The following is an 18,576-nucleotide window of genomic DNA, read 5'->3' as shown; positions in this document are numbered from 1 at the left end:
AACTTCTGGGGGACATGTGCAGGATGTGCAGGTGTGTTACATAGGTAAACGTGTTTCATGGGTGTTTGTTGTACAGATTATGTCATCACTCAGGTATTAAGCCTAGTATCCATTAGTTATTCTTCCTCATCCTCTCCCTACTCGCGCCCTCTGCCCTCCAGTAGGCCCCAGTGTCTGTTGTTCCCCTCTGTGTGTCCATGTGTTCTCATCATTTAGCTCTCACTGTATAATTGAAAACATGCAGTATTTGGTTTTCTGTTCCTGCATTAGTTTGCTGAGGATAATGGCCTCCAGCCCTATCCGTGTCCCTGCAATTGACATGATCTTATTCTTTTATATGGTTGCATATTAGTCCATGGTGTATATATACCACAATTTCTTTATCCAGACTATCATTGATGGGCGTTTAGGTTGATTCCGTGTCTTTGCTATTGTAAATCGTGCTGCAATGAACATACGTGTGCATGTGTATTTACAATAGAATGATTTATATTCCTTTGGGTATATACCCAGTAATGGGATTGCTGGGTTGAATGACATTTCTGTCTTTAAGTGTTTGAGGAATTGTCATACTGTCTTCCACAATGGTTGAACTAATTTACACTCTCAAATACAGTGTAAAAGCATTCCTGTTTCTCCACAACCTTGCCAGTATCTGTTATTTTTTGACAAAACGGCTGTTTATACTTGAAGAATAATAAATGTATTCTGTATTTTTTAAACATCATCGATAAGAACAATGCTATGTGCAACTCCACCAGGTGGTTTACAAACTTTGTATCACTTATATTTCCAGGCATTCGTGTAGCATGCTCTACCCAAATGAAAACTAAATTCATAATAAGGAGACCTGGATTTGAATTCTGGTTTGCCATGTTATTTGCATGACTGTCAGTAAATCACCTAATTTTTCTAAGACTCAGTCTTTTCTTGTATAAAATGGACATGATAATAATCCTCTCATAAGGATGATTTTGAAGACAAACCCTAATAATGGTTATTAAGGTGTGTTGTAAACTGGAAAGACCTATAGAAATGGTAAGAATTATCAGGTATTACAACTATCACTTTTTTCACACAGACAAAATGTGAAGGTGCCACTGGGTGGGCATTGAGCCCATTAGGTTATTATTGTTACAAATTTGAAGACAATAGAAACCTGGTAAATGAACGTTAACTGTGTTTATGTTTAAATAATTTCCCTTAACAATGTATTACATGTATTACATAATCTGATAATTAAACATGTTATTAAATATTAAATTTATTTAAATTTACATAAATTAATTAAATTATTTAAATAATTAAATTTATAATTATATATAATTATTATAACTATTACATATAATTATATATATTTTTTATATATTACATATAATATGTATTATAAAATATATAATATGTATTATAAAATATATAATATATATTATAAAATATATAATATGTATTATAAAATATATAATATATATTATAAAATATATAATATGTATTATAAAATATATATGTATTATAAAATATGTAATATGCATTATAAAATATATAATATATATTATAAAATATATAATATGTATTATAAAATATATAATATAAAATATATAATATGTATTATAAAATATATAATATGTATTATAAAATATATAATATATTATAAAATATGTATTATATATTAAATATATAATTATTAAAGAATTATTAAATATATAATTATTAAAAATTTAATATATAATTATTAAATATTAATTGGTAATTGGTTATGTTATATAAGTAATAATTAAAATATTAGTATACAATTTTGAATTCCATTCTCATCTGTGAGGTTAAAAATCAGCAGAGGGGAACCCTTTGTGAGTTACAAGGAAAGTGTAAGAAACGAGTACCCTCACACAGGATTTAAGTGCTTTTGCAATAGAACTTTGAAATCCTGATGTAGTGCTTTAAAAAAGGCGGTGCCTGGGGATAAGGGGATATGCATAACCAGACCTCTTCGTATTTGATTGGCTCACATATCTGCACTGAGACACTTACCTATGTAAATACCTGAGATACTTAACCATTTAAGAGAATTTTTGGTTTGTTTTAACTGCCAGACTGGAAGGAGAGTAAAAAGCCAGGTAGTTCTATCTAGTGAAGTTGATTATTGCTACCTTACATGACATAAACCAAAAATGATAAACACTCATTAAAAAAATTAAACCTACAATGAATTAATGAAGTGGATAAATCCTCAACTCCATCCACATGAGTCCATTGCAGATCTCATGATGAAACTACCGTTTCCCAACCAAGCAGAAACCACTGAACACATCCCTCATCAAACTACCCTGGGGCTTGGTCTGCAGATTCCAAGTGTCATATACCACTGCTCTTTATTTTCAATAAGCAAATGCTTCTACAGCAGTGGGCCAGGAGGGGAAAGATGGCTTGCTTTCAACCCAAAAGGAACACTAGTCCTGCTTGTGGAGTGAACTCCGCTGGGGTGCGGCAAGGGAGGATCTGCTCAGAGTCCCAGGAATCTGGCTCAGAAACACGGAGACCATTGTCTTTAGAGGCAACAAAAGGGGTTATTGAAAAAACCAACTTTAATATAAAGCCAAAAATCTGTGCTCATCATTTTGTGTTTATTTGGCATTCAAATATGGCAGTCATTCTCAGCTCTTGCTGCTGTTTATATTTAAAGGAGGCCCACAGCCATGGAATGGGAGCCAGCTTTCAATATCTCACTCTTAAAAAAACAAAAACAAAAAAAATCCCTGTATCATTTCTACTCATGTGTCCTTTGACTTCCTGTCTGAACCTTTGGGGCTGGGGAGATGGTGGTGAGTGACAGATCAGCAGGCTTCTTAACACCAGAGCCTGAGAACTCTCCCGGACAATTCTTTCATAACCAGATACACATTTGTGTTTACTTGGAGGAGGGGGACAACATTCCTTTGGCATTGGGTCAGATTTTCTTGTCTGCATATATATATATATATATATATATATATATATGTTTTTCTGGTTCTAGTTGGGCAATTTCTGTTAAATCTCAGCAACAGTGGAGTGTAATCATTGTGGAGTTTATTTCAGCTTCTTGGTTGGCAGTTACATTGGCCTCTAATCATGAGTGGTGGAGGAACTGCTGCAATTACATAACCTTTACCCTAACTGCCTGAGGAATGACAGTTGGAGGGGAGGGGAAGGTGATGGAGTGGGGCTGGTAACCTAGGAAGGGGCAAGGGTCACTACAATGTTAATTGGTGTCTGCAGATCAGACCCATTTTTCTATAGTGAATAATTTAAAAACAATGTCATTCATTAAATGAACCAATGCCCTTGACTTCTTAAAAGAGGTGAAGGGAATTAATCACAGTAAGTTCTCTGAACATAAAAATTAACTAAGTTTATAGTGCTGGAACTGATGTGTGTGCGATAACAGTACATTATATTTGAAAGGTGAGTTATATTTCTTCATAGTGCTTTTCATTTATATGATCATAAATTACTATATATTTGTATTTTATTGTATTACTTTATTTGATCATCACAATAAATCTGTAAAGAATTTAGAGCAAGCATCCATATCCTCAATGAGAAGTTTATTGAAAATAAGAAGTTACGTGATTTGCCTAGGGTCAAGTAAGCCAGTCTCCTACTTGATGCTTGGTGCCCCTTGATTTTTCAATGTTATCATTTAACTTTATGGAATGTTAGTCCCTTAGCCAAACTTAATGATTCAACAGTTGTAATACAATCAAACAACTATATGTCATCCAGTGAAAATCTCTATAGCACATCCCTGTTCTTTAATGTACCCAGTTTTAACCTGGAAAAAAAAGAAAAATGCTGCGGAAACATCACTGCTGCTTATTGTGGGTCCAAGTGATGGCACATGATACATTCCTTTCTATTCCATTTTCTTTTCACCATCAAAACAGATTTTTACTTGATTTCAGTGGTCTTTTCTTTAATTCTCTTTTGAATTAGCTTAGGGCAAAGTCTCTCTTGTCCACCAAACCTTAACTTTGAAAGAGTTGCATTTCTTTAGACCAATATTTTGCAGGTTACAACAAAACCCAAATGTCACCTCTTTCCATCCATATTAAAAATGCTCACAATATATGCTCACAATAATGAGTCTTCCCAGTCTAAAGTGGTTGCTGTAGTCCCTGGCCTAAGTAATCCACTCAAAGTCCTTTCTTGACCACATTTCTAATGACCCAATGAAAGCTGATGAACAGAAAGTAATTATAGGATCCTATGAAATCCCAGTAGGCCAACTACCCATCTGAAGTGTAACTATTCTATGAGTGTTGTGAACCACATTGGTCCATAAAGAAAGAACCTGGAGTGGCTCATGCCTGTAATCCCAGCACTTTGGGAGGCCGAGCCAGGTGGACCATCTGAGGTCAGGAGTTGGAGACCAGCCTGACCAACATAGTGAAACCCCGTATCTACTAAGAAATACCGAAAAACCTAACCAGGCATGATGGTGCTCACCTGTCATCCCAGCTACTCAAGAGGTTGAAGCAGGAGAATTGCTTGAACCCAGGCAGCAGAGGTTGCAGTGAGCCGAGATTGTGCCGCTGCACTGCAGCCTGGGCAACAGAGCAAGATTCCGTCTCAGAAAAAAAACAAAAAAAAAAAAAAGAGAAAGAACCTGGAGGCTCCTTCCACCTCAAAGGAGTTATCTCAGTAAATATTTGTTGATGCTAAACCTCATAATGGGAAATGTTTCTCTTTGTTCATCTTCCCAAATAGACATTTTATGGAATGTTGAATGTAAACATTTGAGGGATTCAGTAAAACTCCAGCTATGAGCACTTCCTGCCTCCAGCCTTTTGTTTGTTTTCCAGTGAGAATGTATAGTAACCCATTTCAAACTCTGGCTCGCATTTTTCTAGTGAAGGCTCCCCTGGAGGTAGGACTGCCAGGGCAAGAATTAGCCAGATTGTAATCTTTGTGTCTAGCAGTCTGACATCACTTGTAAACTCTGCCAAAATTCCTTTGGAAACAGATGTTCCTAGAGAGGGAATGGTAATCATTTATTCTCTTACATTTGTTCAGTAAATGCTGATTTGTGGAAAATACAAGGATTTAGGTTACGGTTAGAAACAATTCACTAAGGATATACCATTTCAGATAGAATAACCATTATTATTCCAAAACATTTTTTCTTCTTTCCCAGCATTTCTCATGCTTGAATTCAGGCTTTCCCATCTACTTAGAGTCAGGAACAGTCACATATATGCTCTCCCATGCTCCACCTGAAGTGGCTCCTGTATCAAGCTGTAGGCGAGTAATTTACATATCCTGGTAATATTTTCTAGTCACTAGCCTAGCATACAATATAAACTTTAAGCCCTCCTCCTTGTGATTTGCAAATTATCTCTTTCATCCAAAAAAGTGGAATGATAACATAAAACTCCAAAAAGGATCATTTTTTTGATGACTGACTTATAAACAAGGAAAACTCTGGGTCTCATATCATCACTGTGATCATAAGGTCCTTGGGCCACTATAATGAATGGATGTATATTGATATATGTATCAGAAAAATACTGCCTCTGATATAAAAATATCAAGGATTTAAATTTTTTATTTTTGTGTTCAAGGAATACATGCTATATGGAACATAAAGCTGAGTGAAACTGATATAAGACTGATTTGTGCTTGCCTAAATCTCTACACAAAAATTCTTTCTTTATTGGTAGTTACCATTGAACTGAAAGTATTTTCAGTTGAATTTTCATCTGAATGAATAATCAGCTACTGGTAAGGATGAAAGTTCGTTTAGAGGTGAACTCTTTAGTAACTGCTGAAGCATCTTACCAGGGAAGTCTTGGAGATCTTTTATGTTATTTGTGGTTTGTTCTGTAGTTTTGGGATCATCAGAATTTGCTTATTATGTATTTCAAACTCTGAATTATTAAAGAACTAAAAATAAATTATATTAGGGCAAGTTTCCTCCAGAAATTGCAGGATAGGGGCGTTCAATAATGTAATATATGAATCCCACTATATGTTAGTAACTTTTTCCAGAAATGTCAAGATGCTACTTTTATTGTGAACAGAAGTCTTTACAGCATTTATTAGTCTTTGATTCAATAAATGGAAAAATCTCTAAGGGCCAGATTGTATATTTCCTCTGTAGATTCCAAGCTCACATGTGTCTTTCCAGAGTCAGTTTCAATGCCCCACTGAGTTTCCAGGGGGTGGGATGGGCAGTGGACAGAACAATGCAGTGGTGAAAACAGGGCTGCATCTCAGCCCTTCTATGTAAATTCATGTCTGAATAATTTGATTCTGTTCTTACATGAACTAAATGATGTCCTCCCTTCAAAGAAAATGGGAGGACAAGTTAATGATCTAGTCAAAATTTTGGAGGTGGCCTCAAGAATAAATTGATTCTCATGGCCAATCACTGTCTTTAAAAAAATCTCAATATCAGTTATTGAGATTCAACTTCATTTTAATGGACTCTACTATCTAGTTGTGTAAAAAACTCGAATCCTTAGGCCATCTCATTTTAGAAACACCAAAGTAAATCCACAGGTGTTCTCATTTTAGATACCTTCAATTGAATTCTGCAGCTAATGCATTCCAGCAAGACATCAGAATGAAATCCTTCTAAAAATTAAGCTTTTGATAAAAAAGATATGTTCATGGTAGAATAAACATTTTTTTGTCCTCAAAATGTCCCACTCTAGATTAACAACTTACATGCTGTATGATGCAGAATTCAGCTGAAAATGGTTACCTGCTGGACTGCTTGAGCATCTGTTTTCTAGGGTGACCAATGTTTTGATCTGACGGGAACTGAGGATTTCTCAGGAGTTGGGGCTTTCAGTGCTAAACTGGGTCAGTCTGAGGCAAGCTGCTGAGTCACTTTCTGAGAAAAGTTCTGGCTCTGTTGTCAGGTATTTTTGTAGCTCAGGGATCAGAATACAAATCAGTGTCTCCACTTCTCAGAACAAGCATCACTTCCACCTAATTTTAGAGCACATGGGTTGCCTCATCAACCTCCTGTTTCTAGTGCTTACCAAGGTTTATTCCAAACAGACTTTCCTCTATTCCAAAGCTTTCATGAAAGATCCTATGACCACTGATATTTAGAAACATAGCCCAAGGAATACTCTGTCCTCCTTATTTTCTTCATTTTTTCTATAATTTTTGCTCAATCGCTTTGCATCAGGCATTGGGTTATGTGATGTTTCCAGTGAGGGCAGACACTGCCTACCATGGGGTTAGAATCTGATAAGGCAAATGAGTGAACAAGCACTATTAACAAAGCTTTGTCCCTTCATCAGGCCTGGTCAGACCAGGCCAAAGCTATGGTCCTAGGATAAATTCTGTCAGTTTTGTACAACTCATCTTCACAGATTTGCAATTTAGCATTATGCTAAGTGGTCATATGAAGAAGAACGACTTTGCGCTTTTTCAGAAAAAAAATTGACAACTGTCCCTTACACAGTTCAATATTCATTAAACAGAGATCTGTATAATGCAATCAGCTCTTCATATCTGTGGGCTCTTCATCCACAGATTCAACCAGCCACAGATAACAAATATTCAGAAAAAACAATAAAAAAAATACAAATTTAAAAAAATACGGTAAAACAACTATTTGTATAACATTTACATTGTAGGAGTGTTGTAGGTAATCTAGAGATGATTTAAACTGTATAGGAGCACGTGCATAAGTTCTATATAAATACCACATTATTTTACATCAGATACTTGAGCACCCAGGGATTTTGGTATCAGTTGGTGGGGTGGTTCCTGAAACCTATCCTTGGTGGATACTAAGGGACAACTGAGAGAGTTCATGGCTGGGAAATCATCTGTCTCTGCAGTTGAACAAATATGCTTCCTTGTAGTGGACAGTGAGAGCCAGGAAATGAATATAAGTTTGACATGCAGTTTTCAGTATCTTTTCTTAGTCTTGATTTAGTTTTCTGGTAAAATGATATTCTCATTTTTATAGTGTTAAAATATTTTAATCTCTCTCCATCAAGGGCTCTCTTTGCAACAGAGGGAGAATATTTCTTTTCTTCCATATACTAACCCCTTCAAAGACAGCATTCTTTTTATATTTAAGGCTATAAAGGGGCCAAGCATGATAGCTAACACCTGTAATCCCAGCACTTTGGGAGACCAAGGTGGGTGGATTGCTTGAGCCCAGGAGTTTGAGACCAGCCTGGGCAACATGGTGAAACCCTATCTCTACAAAAAATACAAAAATTAGCCAGGTGTGGTGGCATACACTTGTGGTCCTAGCTACTTGGGAGGGTGAGGCAGGAGGATCACCTGAGACTTGGAGGTCAAGGCTGCAGTGAGCTGAGATTGTGCCACCGTACCACTGTGCAACAGAATGAGAACCTCTCTCAATAAATAAATAAATAAATAAATACTAGCTGGGCATGGTGCCACATGACTGTAGTCCCACCTACTTGGGAATCTGAGGTGGGAGGATCGCTTGAGCCCAGAAGATAGAAGCTGCAATGGGCTATGATTGCACCACTGCACTCCAGCCTAGGTGACAGAGTGAGAACTTGTCTCAAAAAAAAAAAAAAAAAAAAAAAAAGACTATAAATGATTTTGGTTTTCAGAGGACCATTTTTCTGAAATTGACTATGAATCAGAAAAAAGTTCTTGCCCTAAGCTTCTCTAGCATTCTACAACCAGGACCACCCTCTTATTCCTGACTTTTGCCAATGAAATCTTAGGGGAAGGTTTTGAGAATGGGTGGTTCTTAGTGTACATCACAGCACTGCTGCAGAGTCTGATGTCTTAGAAAAATATTTGGTACTGAAAATATCTCTTCACCTTTCCCTAGTCTTCCAGTTCTCTTTTACTGGCACAAATAGTGTTTAAAACAAAAATTATCATATTTAATATGTGTTGCTAGGATGACCAGAAGACAGCAGCAGGAATTAAACTAAAGCCAAGAAACTGAGCACAGCTCCTTGGACAAATCTTAATCTTGGCTGATGCCATATCTGGTGGGGGTGAGCTGAAGTGTACTTCACTGTGCATAGAGAGAGAAACCTGCTTTTGAAACTCCTTCCAGAAGCATACTATCTTTTCGTAAGTGGGAAATGTCTTGTGTTTTGCCTTGTGTTTCTTGTTTGATGGCATGCCTGGGTCTTCTTTCTTATTTTTACCTTGTCTGCAGATTTTTCCACCACAAAGAGAGCTCCCAGATGATTATGCACTCTTCTGCCCAGTGAACAAAAGGAAGCATAATCTGGACTAACTACAGGTTGAATATCCCAGGTTCTTCTCAGGTTATGGTTGGCTGAGCTATACTTATTGAACACCTGCTGTAAATAACCATCATGAAGATGAAGCCTTGTAGGTTCCAATTGTGGTTTACCCACAGAGTGTTCTGGGCAAATCACTCTGTGATTCTGTTTTCCGTGTCATTAAAAGAGGAGAGTATTACCACCCTCCTAAAATGGGTATTGTGAGGATTAAATGGAAACAAAATAGGTTTTGTGGAAATTGTAAATGTTACCTTAACACTACACCAATGTTAGTTATTTTTTCCCAGTATCTGAAATTTGGGAGGAAAGAATAAAAGACAGAAAAATGAAAAAGAAGAGGAAGAGAAGGAAGAAGAGAGGGTGTGTGGATTTTGACCTTGAGATGCTTATACATGTGTGGCAGAGAAACAAAACAAATGACATGAAATGATGCTGTAAATTGGGAAACTTTATACATTTAGTTGGCTCTGCTGATTGTTCTAATTACCAGTTGATATGGTTTGGCTGCATGCCCACCCAAATCTCATCTTGAATTGTAGTTCCTATAATCCCCATGTGTCATGGGAGGGACCTGGTAGGAGGTAATTGAATCATGGGGGTGGTTTCCCTCATGCTATTCTCGTGATAATGAGTAAGTTCTCACAATATCTGGTGGCTTTATAAGGGGCTTCCCCCTTCACTCAGTTCTCATTCTTTTCTCTCCTTTTGCTATGTGAAGAAGGACATGTTTGCTTCTCCTGCCATGGCTGGAAGTTTCCTGAGGCCTCCCCAGCCATCCTGAACTGTGAGTCAATTAAACCTCTTTCCTTTATAAATTACCTAGTCTTGGGTATGTCTTTATTAGCAGTGTGAGAACTAACTAATACAGTTAATTGGTACTGAGAGTGGAGTGCTGCTATAAGGATACCTGAATGTGGAATGCAACTTTGGAACTTAGTAACAGGCAGAGGTTGGAACAGTTTGGAGGGCTCAGAAGTAGATGGGAAAATGTGGGAAAATTTGGAATTCGTAAAGTCTTGAAGGGCTCAGAAGACAGGAAGATGTGGGGTAGTTTGGAACTTCCTAGAGACTTGTTGAATGGCTTTGACCAAAATGCTGATAGTGATATGGGAAATGAAGTCCAGACTAAGGTGGTCTCAGATGGAGATGGGAAACTTGTTGGCAACTGGAATAAAGGTCACTCTTGCCATGCAAAGAGACTGATGGCATTTTGCCCCATCCCAGAAATCTGTGGAACTCTGAACTTGAGAGAGGTGATTTAGGGTATCTGGCAAAAGACATTTGTAAGTGGCAAAGCATTCAAGAGGAAGAATAGCATAAACGTTTGGAAATTTGCAGCCTGACTATTGTGATAGAAAAGAAAACCCCATTTTCTGGGGAGAAATTCAAGCAAGCTGCAAATATTTGCAAAGGTAGCAAGAAGCCTAATGTTAATCACCAAGACAATAGGGAAAATGTCTCCAGGGCATGTCAGACACCTTCACAGCAGCCTCTCCCATCACAGGCCTGGAGGCCTAGGAAGGAAAAATGGTTTCCTAGGCCAGGTCCAGGGCCTCCCTGCTGTGTGCAGCTTTGGGACTTGGTGCCTTGCATCTCAGCTACTGTAGCTGTGGCTAAAAGGGGCCAATGTACATCTCAGGCAAGAGGGTGCAAGCTCCAGGCCTTGGCAGCTTCCACGTGGTGTTGAGCCTGTGGGCACACGTAAGTCAAGAATTGAGATTTGGGAACCTCTGCCTAGATTTCAGAGGATGTATGGAAATGCCTGGATGTCCAGGCAGAAGTTTGCTGCAGAAGAACCTCTGCTAGGGCAGTGCTGAGGTGAAATGCAAGGTTGGAGCCCCCACACAGAGTCTCCACTGGGGCACTGCCTAGTGGAGCTGTGAGAAGAGGGCCACTGTCCTCCAGACCCCAGAATGGTAGATCCACTGACAGCTTGCACCATGCACCTGGAAAAGCTGCAGACACTCTATGCTAGCTGGGATGGGACTGTACTCTGCAAAGCCACAGGGGTGGAGCTGCCCAGGGCTGTGGGAGCCCACCTGTTGCATCACTGTGACCTGTATGTGAGATATGGAGTCAAAGGAGACCATTTTGGAATTTTAAGTTTTAATGACTGCCCTATTCGATTTTGGACTGGCATGGGGCCTATAGCCCCTTTGTTTTGTCCAATTTCTCCCATTTGGAATGGGCATATTTACCCAATGTCTGTACCCCCATTGTATCTAGGAAGTAACTAACTTGCTTTTGATTTTACAGGCTCATAGGCAGAAGGGACTTGCCTTGTCTCAGATGAGACTTTGGACTTGGACTTTTGAGACCATACTGGAATGATTTAAGACTTTGGGGGACTATTGGAAGGACATGATTATTTTTTGAATTGTGAGGACATGAGATTTGGGAGGGGCCAGGGGCAGAATGATATGGTTTTGCCATGTCCCCCCGCCCAAATCTCATCTTGAATTATAGTTCCCATAATCCCCACATGTCATAGGAAGTATCTGGTAGGAGGTAATTGAATCATGGGGGTGGTTCCCCCATGCTATTCTTGTGATAGTGAGTTCTCAGGAGATCTGATGGTTTTATAAGGGGCTTCCCCTGCACTTGGTTTTTCATTCTTCTGTCGCCTGCTGCCATGTGAAGAAAGAAGTGTTTGCTTCCCCTTCCATCATGGTTGGACGTTTCCTGAGGCCTCTCCAGTCATGCTGAGCTGTGAGTCAATTAAACCTCTTGCTTTTATAAATTACCCAGTCTCAGATATGTCTTTATTAGCAGCATGAGAATAGATTAATATACCAGTCAAGTGTTTGCCTCAAAAAAACCCTAAAAATTATGGTACTTCCTGGAAGGACATTTATTTTGTTGTTATGAAGAAAAAAAAAAGAGGCAAGATAGTTCAGAAAATAAGAGTGGTAATCTGGTATGTTTTACAAAAGGATCTAATATACCCAAATTTTCTATCATATGGAATAGCAATTTAACCTCATAAAAACTCATCTCCTTTTTATTTAATTCGAATAGCTAAAATTTAAAAATGCCAGTTTGTTTAAAAACATTTCACATTTAACTCTTACAACTTTTGAGACAGACATGTTACTTTTACACTTTAATACTTTGGTTGTAAAAATAATTCATGTTTACTTTAGAATATGCAGAAAATATAGATGGAGGAAAGAATATTTTAAAAATTTATCCAAAATCCTTTACCCAGGAATAATCACTGTTAATACCAAAAAATATTTTCCACCTTTTTTTTCTATTTAAAAATCAAAATTATATTCACGTGGCATAAAAAGTTTTCATCCTCCCCAAATTTCCTTTCTCAGAAATAACTAATTCCACCTCTTTTTAAAGCTTTTTGTTTTTGTATTTACCTCATCTTTAAATAACATATTTGTGTTTCTTCTTGTTTTATAAATTTTAGGCATTGTCTGTGGACTTCCCATTATGGAAAATGGCAGAGAAGTTAGCTCTGCCCCTCTACCATTGTATATGTATATATCTCATCTCCCATCTTCTCCATAGAGATTTTGGTTGATTAACATGCTGTGCTTACATTATTATATTGCATATGCTATTTGGAGATGAGATTCAAAGCTGAGATATATGGCTTACTATGATTAGTCTTTTTTCCTTCTTTCTTTCTTTCTTTCTTTCTTTCTTTCTTTCTTTCTTCTTTCTTTCTTTCTTTCTTTCTTTTTTTTTGAGACAGAGTTTCGCTCTTGTTGCCCAGGCTGGATTGCAATGGCGATCTTGGCTCACTTTAACCTCCGCCTCCCAGGTTCAAGCGATTCTCCTGCCTCAGCCTGCCAAGTAGCTGGGATTACAGGTGCCTGCCACTATGCCTGGCTAATTTTTTGTATTTTTAGTAGAGACAGGGTTTCACCATGTTGCCCAGGCTAGTCTGGAACTCCTAGCCTCAGGTGATCCACCCACCTCGGCCTCCCAAAGTGTTGGGATTACACATGTGAACCACTGCGCTGGGCCTTATTAGTTTTCTTGAACAATTTGGGGATGAATAATTACCTAGCTTTTCCTTTTTAGTTATTTGCTAGATGTAAATAAGGGTTAATGCAGGTTTTTCTCAGCATGGCCATCATACAATTTTGGGAATCCGCTAAGAAATGCAATTGCAAATTTTCAAAAAGTGAAAGGAACTTGGATCCCTAAATCAATACTTGGAGGAGAGCTGCCTACTAATCAGGAACTCCCATTTTGGGGTTTAAGTCATTGTTCTATGTAGGTTTAATTTTGTAACAGCTGGGATTATTGTATTTAATTTCTGCACCATAGACCACTTTTCTTCTAGGGTTTTTTTTTCTTTTTTTCTTTCTCTTTGTTTTGGTCTCTAACATTTATGTTAAAGGATCTACTCAAATATCTGGTTATACTTGATTGTCTGCTCGTGTTTAAAAGTGGGGGTCTAAATAGCTGATCTGTAGTCTCAGCATATGAGTGGAGCTGATTGAACATGAGCTTTACTTTAGGGTGCTCTGCTTGGGCCCACGTCAGTATGTTTAAGGCTTTTCTTTTGGATTGGTCAGATGCCCCAAAGAAGGCTCTTTCATCTCTGATCTGAAGGTAAAGGTCTGACTGCCAGTGTTCTGTGTGTTGAGTGGAGAAATTTGGCTGGAGGGTCTCAGAATTTACGACGTACAGGATTACAAAATCCCCGTGTGTCTGTATGATACTCATCCTTCAGTTAGGCCTGGTATCCTCTAGAGTAGACCAGACCCCCTCTATCTTGCCCTCTCTGTAGTATGAACCTCTTGTTTTCACCAGAGTGGGAGGACAGTCACCCAGTGGGGTGAAGCAGAGAAGAGGATCTAGGATCTGTTTCCTCAGAAGCTTTCAACAAATCCTGTTGTCTGTCCCATTTTCAGAGGTACCTGGTGCCAGTTCCTGAGACTTGAGGATTCTGGTTGGTTCTCAGCACAGGAGTCAGCCTGCTCTGATTTGCTAGGTCAGTGACCATGTGCTCATTTGCTTTCCAGTTACCAAAATGTTATTTCCTCTTCCATTTCCTCCAAATGTGTTCCTTTTAAAGATATTACCCAGAGGCTCGCTCCTACTCTTTTTTCTGTGCATATTTCTACATAGTTGTATGTTTCATATAAATTTTTTGAATGCTACTTTAATGATTGTTCATAGCAGATACAAGTGTTTGATCCTGTTATTAAAAGTTCTTCAGTCATTTATAGAGCAGCTTTATCAAGATTTAATTCACACATCATACAATTCATCTACTTAAAGTGTACAAATTAGTGATTTTTTTGCATATTCACAGTTGTGCAACCATTAACATAATCAATTTAAAAATATTTTCATCATCCCCCCAAAAAGAAATCCCATATTCACTAGTAGTCATTCTCCCTTTCTCCATAATACTAAGCAGACACTAATCTACTTGCCTCTATGGATATGAATATGGGTGTTCTGGACACTTCATGTAAATGGAATGACACAATATGTGGTCTGTTTTGACTGATTTATTTTACCTAGCATAGTCTTTTAAAGGCTTATCCATGTTGTTTCATGTATCAGTATTTCATTCCTTTTTTTTTTTTTAAAGGAGTCTCACTCTGTCACCCAGGCTGGAGTGCAGTGGCGTGATCTCGGTTCACTGCAATTTCTGCCTCCTGGGTTCAAGTGATTCTCCTGTCTCATCTTCTTGAGTAGCTGGGATTACAGATGCGTGCCACCACACTCAGCTAATTTTTTGTATTTTTAGTAGAGACGAGGTTTTGCCATGTTTGGCCAGGCTGGTCTCAAACTCCTGACCTCAAGTGATCTGCCTGCCTTTGCCTCCCAAAGTGCTGGGATTACAGGTATGAGCTACCGCACCCTGCCCATTTCATTCCTTTTTATTGTCAAATAATTATTACATTGTATGTTTATACCAAATTCTGTTTATCCATTCATCAGTTGATGGACATTTGAATTGTTTTCACATTTTTGTTATTACGAATAAATGCTAGTATAAATATTTATGTACATATTTCTGTGTGGACACATTTTCATTTTCATAGGAGTAGAATTGCTGGGTCATATGGTAACTCTATGCTTAACATTTTTCGGAATCGTCAGACTATTTTCCAAAGTAGTTCCATCATTATACATTCTCACCAGTTCACAGTCATTTTAATGTCTATGCATACATATTTATTTGTGCAAAATATTGCATTGTTTAGATATACCATGATTCAGTTAACTATTTTCTGTTGTCAGATTTTTAAGTATTTATATTTGTGTCTAACAAGTTTAATTTCTTTGAAAGTCCATGATGTGGTGCTATTGAGTTGCAGAGTATGAATGTTTTGGAATCTCTCTTCTACCTCCCTTCATTGCCCAACCCCTCTGCCTGACTACCCAACCATACACAATCTTTTCACAAGTGCATATTCTTGGTAGCAGATAGTCCACTTTCCTTAGCATTGACTGACTTTATTAAAAGTCTTTGCTCATTTAGTAGGTTTTTAAAGAGGTATAGCAGTGTTTTAAAATCCAGTCATTTTATTCCTAAATAGGCTGGATATATTTTTTCATATTTATCTTGGAGGTAATTTACTTTTGTGTGAATTTTCTGAAAACAAAAAAACTATCACCTTCATTTTATAAATGAGGGTCATAAACTTCAGAAAGGAAAAAGGGAAAGGAAATGACAGTTGTTGAACTTCCATCATGTTCTGGAACCTTGCTAGGTGCTTTGCATGTACCTTTTCACTTAATTTATCTCTCAAAGCAACCAGTAAGTAAGATTAAACAAACACACATTGCCATAAAGTGGCAGAGCCTTTTTTAAACTTTATTTTTATGCATCAAACAGCAGGGGAGAGGTTTACAACTTAGCCTTTCTTTTTTTTTTTTCTTTTTCTTTAAATTTTTTATTTTTTTATTATTATTATACTTTAAGTTGTAGGGTACATGTGCGCAATGTGCAGGTTAGTTACATATGTATACATGTGCCATGCTGGTGTGCTGCACCCATTAACTCGTCATTTAGCATTAGGTATATCTCCTAATGCTATCCCTCCCCCCTCCCCCCACCCCACAACAGTCCCCAGAGTGTGATGTTCCCCTTCCTTTGTCCATGTGTTCTCATTATTCAATTCCCATCTATGAGTGAGAACATGTGGTATTTGGTTTTTTGTCCTTGTGATAGTTTACTGAGAATGATGATTTCCAATTTCATCCATGTCCCTACAAAGAACATGAACTCATCATTTTTTATGGCTGCATAGTATTCCATGGTGTATATGTGCCACATTTTCTTAATCCAGTCTATCATTGTTGGACATTTGGGTTGGTTCCAAGTCTTTGCTATTGTGAATAGTGCCGCAATAAACATACGTGTGCATGTGTCTTTATAGCAGCATGATTTATAGTCCTTTAGGTATATTCCCAGTAATGGGATGGCTGGGTCAAATGGTATTTCTAGTTCTAGATCCCTGAGGAATCGCCACACTGACTCCCACAATGGTTGAACTAGTTTACAGTCCCACCAACAGTGTAAAAGTGTTCCTATTTCTCCACATCCTCTCCAGCACCTGTTGTTTCCTGACTTTTTAATGATTGCCATTCTAACTGGTGTGAGGTGGTATCTCATTGTGGTTTTGATTTGCATTTCTCTGATGGCCAGTGATGATGAGCATTTTTTCATGTGTCTTTTGGCTGCATAAATGTCTTCTTTTAAGAAGTGTCTGTTCATATCCTTTGCCCACTTTTTGATGGGATTGTTTGTTTTTTTCTTGTAAATTTGTTTGAGTTCATTGTAGATTCTGGATATTAGCCCTTTGTCAGATGAGTAGGTTGTGAAAATTTTCTCCCATTTTATAGGTTGCCTGTTCACTCTGATGGTAGTTTCTTTTGCTGTGCAGAAGCTCTTTAGTTTAATTAGATCCCATTTGTCAATTTTGGCTTTTGTTGCCATTGCTTTTGGTGTTTTAGACATGAAGTCCTTGCCCATGCCTATGTCCTGAATGGTAATGCCTAGGTTTTCTTCTAGGGTTTTTATGGTTTTAGGTCTAACATTCAAGTCTTTAATCCATCTTGAATTAATTTTTGTATAAGATATAAGGAAGGGATCCAGTTTCAGCTTTCTACATATGGCTAGCCAGATTTCCCAGCACCATTTATTAAATAGGGAATCCTTTCCCCATTGCTTGTTTTTCTCAGGTTTGTCAAAGATCGGATGGTTGTAGATATGCGGCGTTATTTCTGAGGGCTCTGTTCTGTTCCATTGATCTATATCTCTGTTTTGGTACCAGTACCATGCTGTTTTGGTTACTGTAGCCTTGTAGTATAGTTTGAAGTCAGGTAGCATGATGCCTCCAGCTTTGTTCTTTTGGCTTAGGATTGACTTGGTGATGCGGGCTCTTTTTTGGTTCCATATGAACTTTAAAGTAGTTTTTTCCAATTCTGTGAAGAAAGTCATTGGTAGCTTGATGGGGATGGCATTGAATCTGTAAATTACCTTGGGCAGTATGGCCATTTTCATGATATTGATTCTTCCTACCCATGAGCATGGAATGTTCTTCCATTTGTTTGTATCCTCTTTTATTTCCTTGAGCAGTGGTTTGTAGTACTCCTTGAAGAGGTCCTTCACGTCCCTTGTAAGTTGGATTCCTAGGTATTTTATTCTCTTTGAAGCAATTGTGAATGGGAGTTCACTCATAATTTGGCTCTCTGTTTGTCTGTTATTAGTGTATAAGAATGCTTGTGATTTTTGTACATTGATTTTGTATCCTGAGACTTTGCTGAAGTTGCTTATCAGCTTAAGGAGATTTTGGGCTGAGACAATGGGGTTTTCTAGATATACACTCATGTCATCTGCAAACAGGGACAATTTGACCTCCTCTTTTCCTAATTGAATACCCTTTATTTCCTTCTCCTGCCTAATTGCCCTGGCCAGAACTTCCAACACTATGTTGAATAGGAGTAGTGAGAGAGGGCATCCCTGTCTTGTGCCAGTTTTCAAAGGGAATGCTTCCAGTTTTTGCCCATTCAGTATGATATTGGCTTTGGGTCTGTCATAGATAGCTCTTATTATTTTGAGATACGTCCCATCAATACCTAATTTATTGAGAGTTTTTAGCATGAAGGTTGTTGAATTTTGTCAAAGGCCTTTTCTGCATCTATTGAGATAATCATGTGGTTTTTGTCTTTGGTTCTGTTTATATGCTGGATTACATTTATTGATTTGCATATATTGAACCAGCCTTGCATCCCAGCGATGAAGCCCACTTGATCATGGTGGATAAGCTTTTTGATGTGCTGCTGGATTCGGTTTGCCAGTATTTTATTGAGGATTTTTACATCAATGTTCATCAAG

The 18,576-nt window shown here is 37.8% G+C and overlaps 1 long non-coding RNA gene across 7 annotated transcripts in view; it reads left to right on the top strand.

The window, feature by feature from the left end:
• Positions 1–18,576, top strand: part of LOC105372061 (uncharacterized) — a 51,352-nt gene that overhangs the window by 26,307 nt on the left and 6,469 nt on the right. For 2 of the 7 annotated variants that reach the window (XR_001753406.3, XR_001753404.2), the window contains exons 1-5: positions 3,204–3,435; positions 8,891–9,069; positions 9,158–9,608; positions 9,967–10,032; positions 14,129–14,208. This is a non-coding gene — a long non-coding RNA (uncharacterized LOC105372061). Of the gene's footprint in view, positions 1–3,164; positions 3,436–8,890; positions 9,609–9,966; positions 11,958–14,128; positions 14,209–18,576 lie in introns of those variants that run through there. The other 5 variants (XR_935370.3, XR_002958217.2, XR_007066333.1 and 2 more) reach the window with 5 other exon arrangements.

Source organism: Homo sapiens, chromosome 18 (genome assembly GCF_000001405.40).
Source record: "Homo sapiens chromosome 18, GRCh38.p14 Primary Assembly".
Classification (NCBI taxonomy): domain Eukaryota; kingdom Metazoa; phylum Chordata; class Mammalia; order Primates; family Hominidae; genus Homo; species Homo sapiens.
Note: the sequence above shows the minus strand (reverse complement) of the source record. Positions and strands in the feature narration are given on the sequence as shown.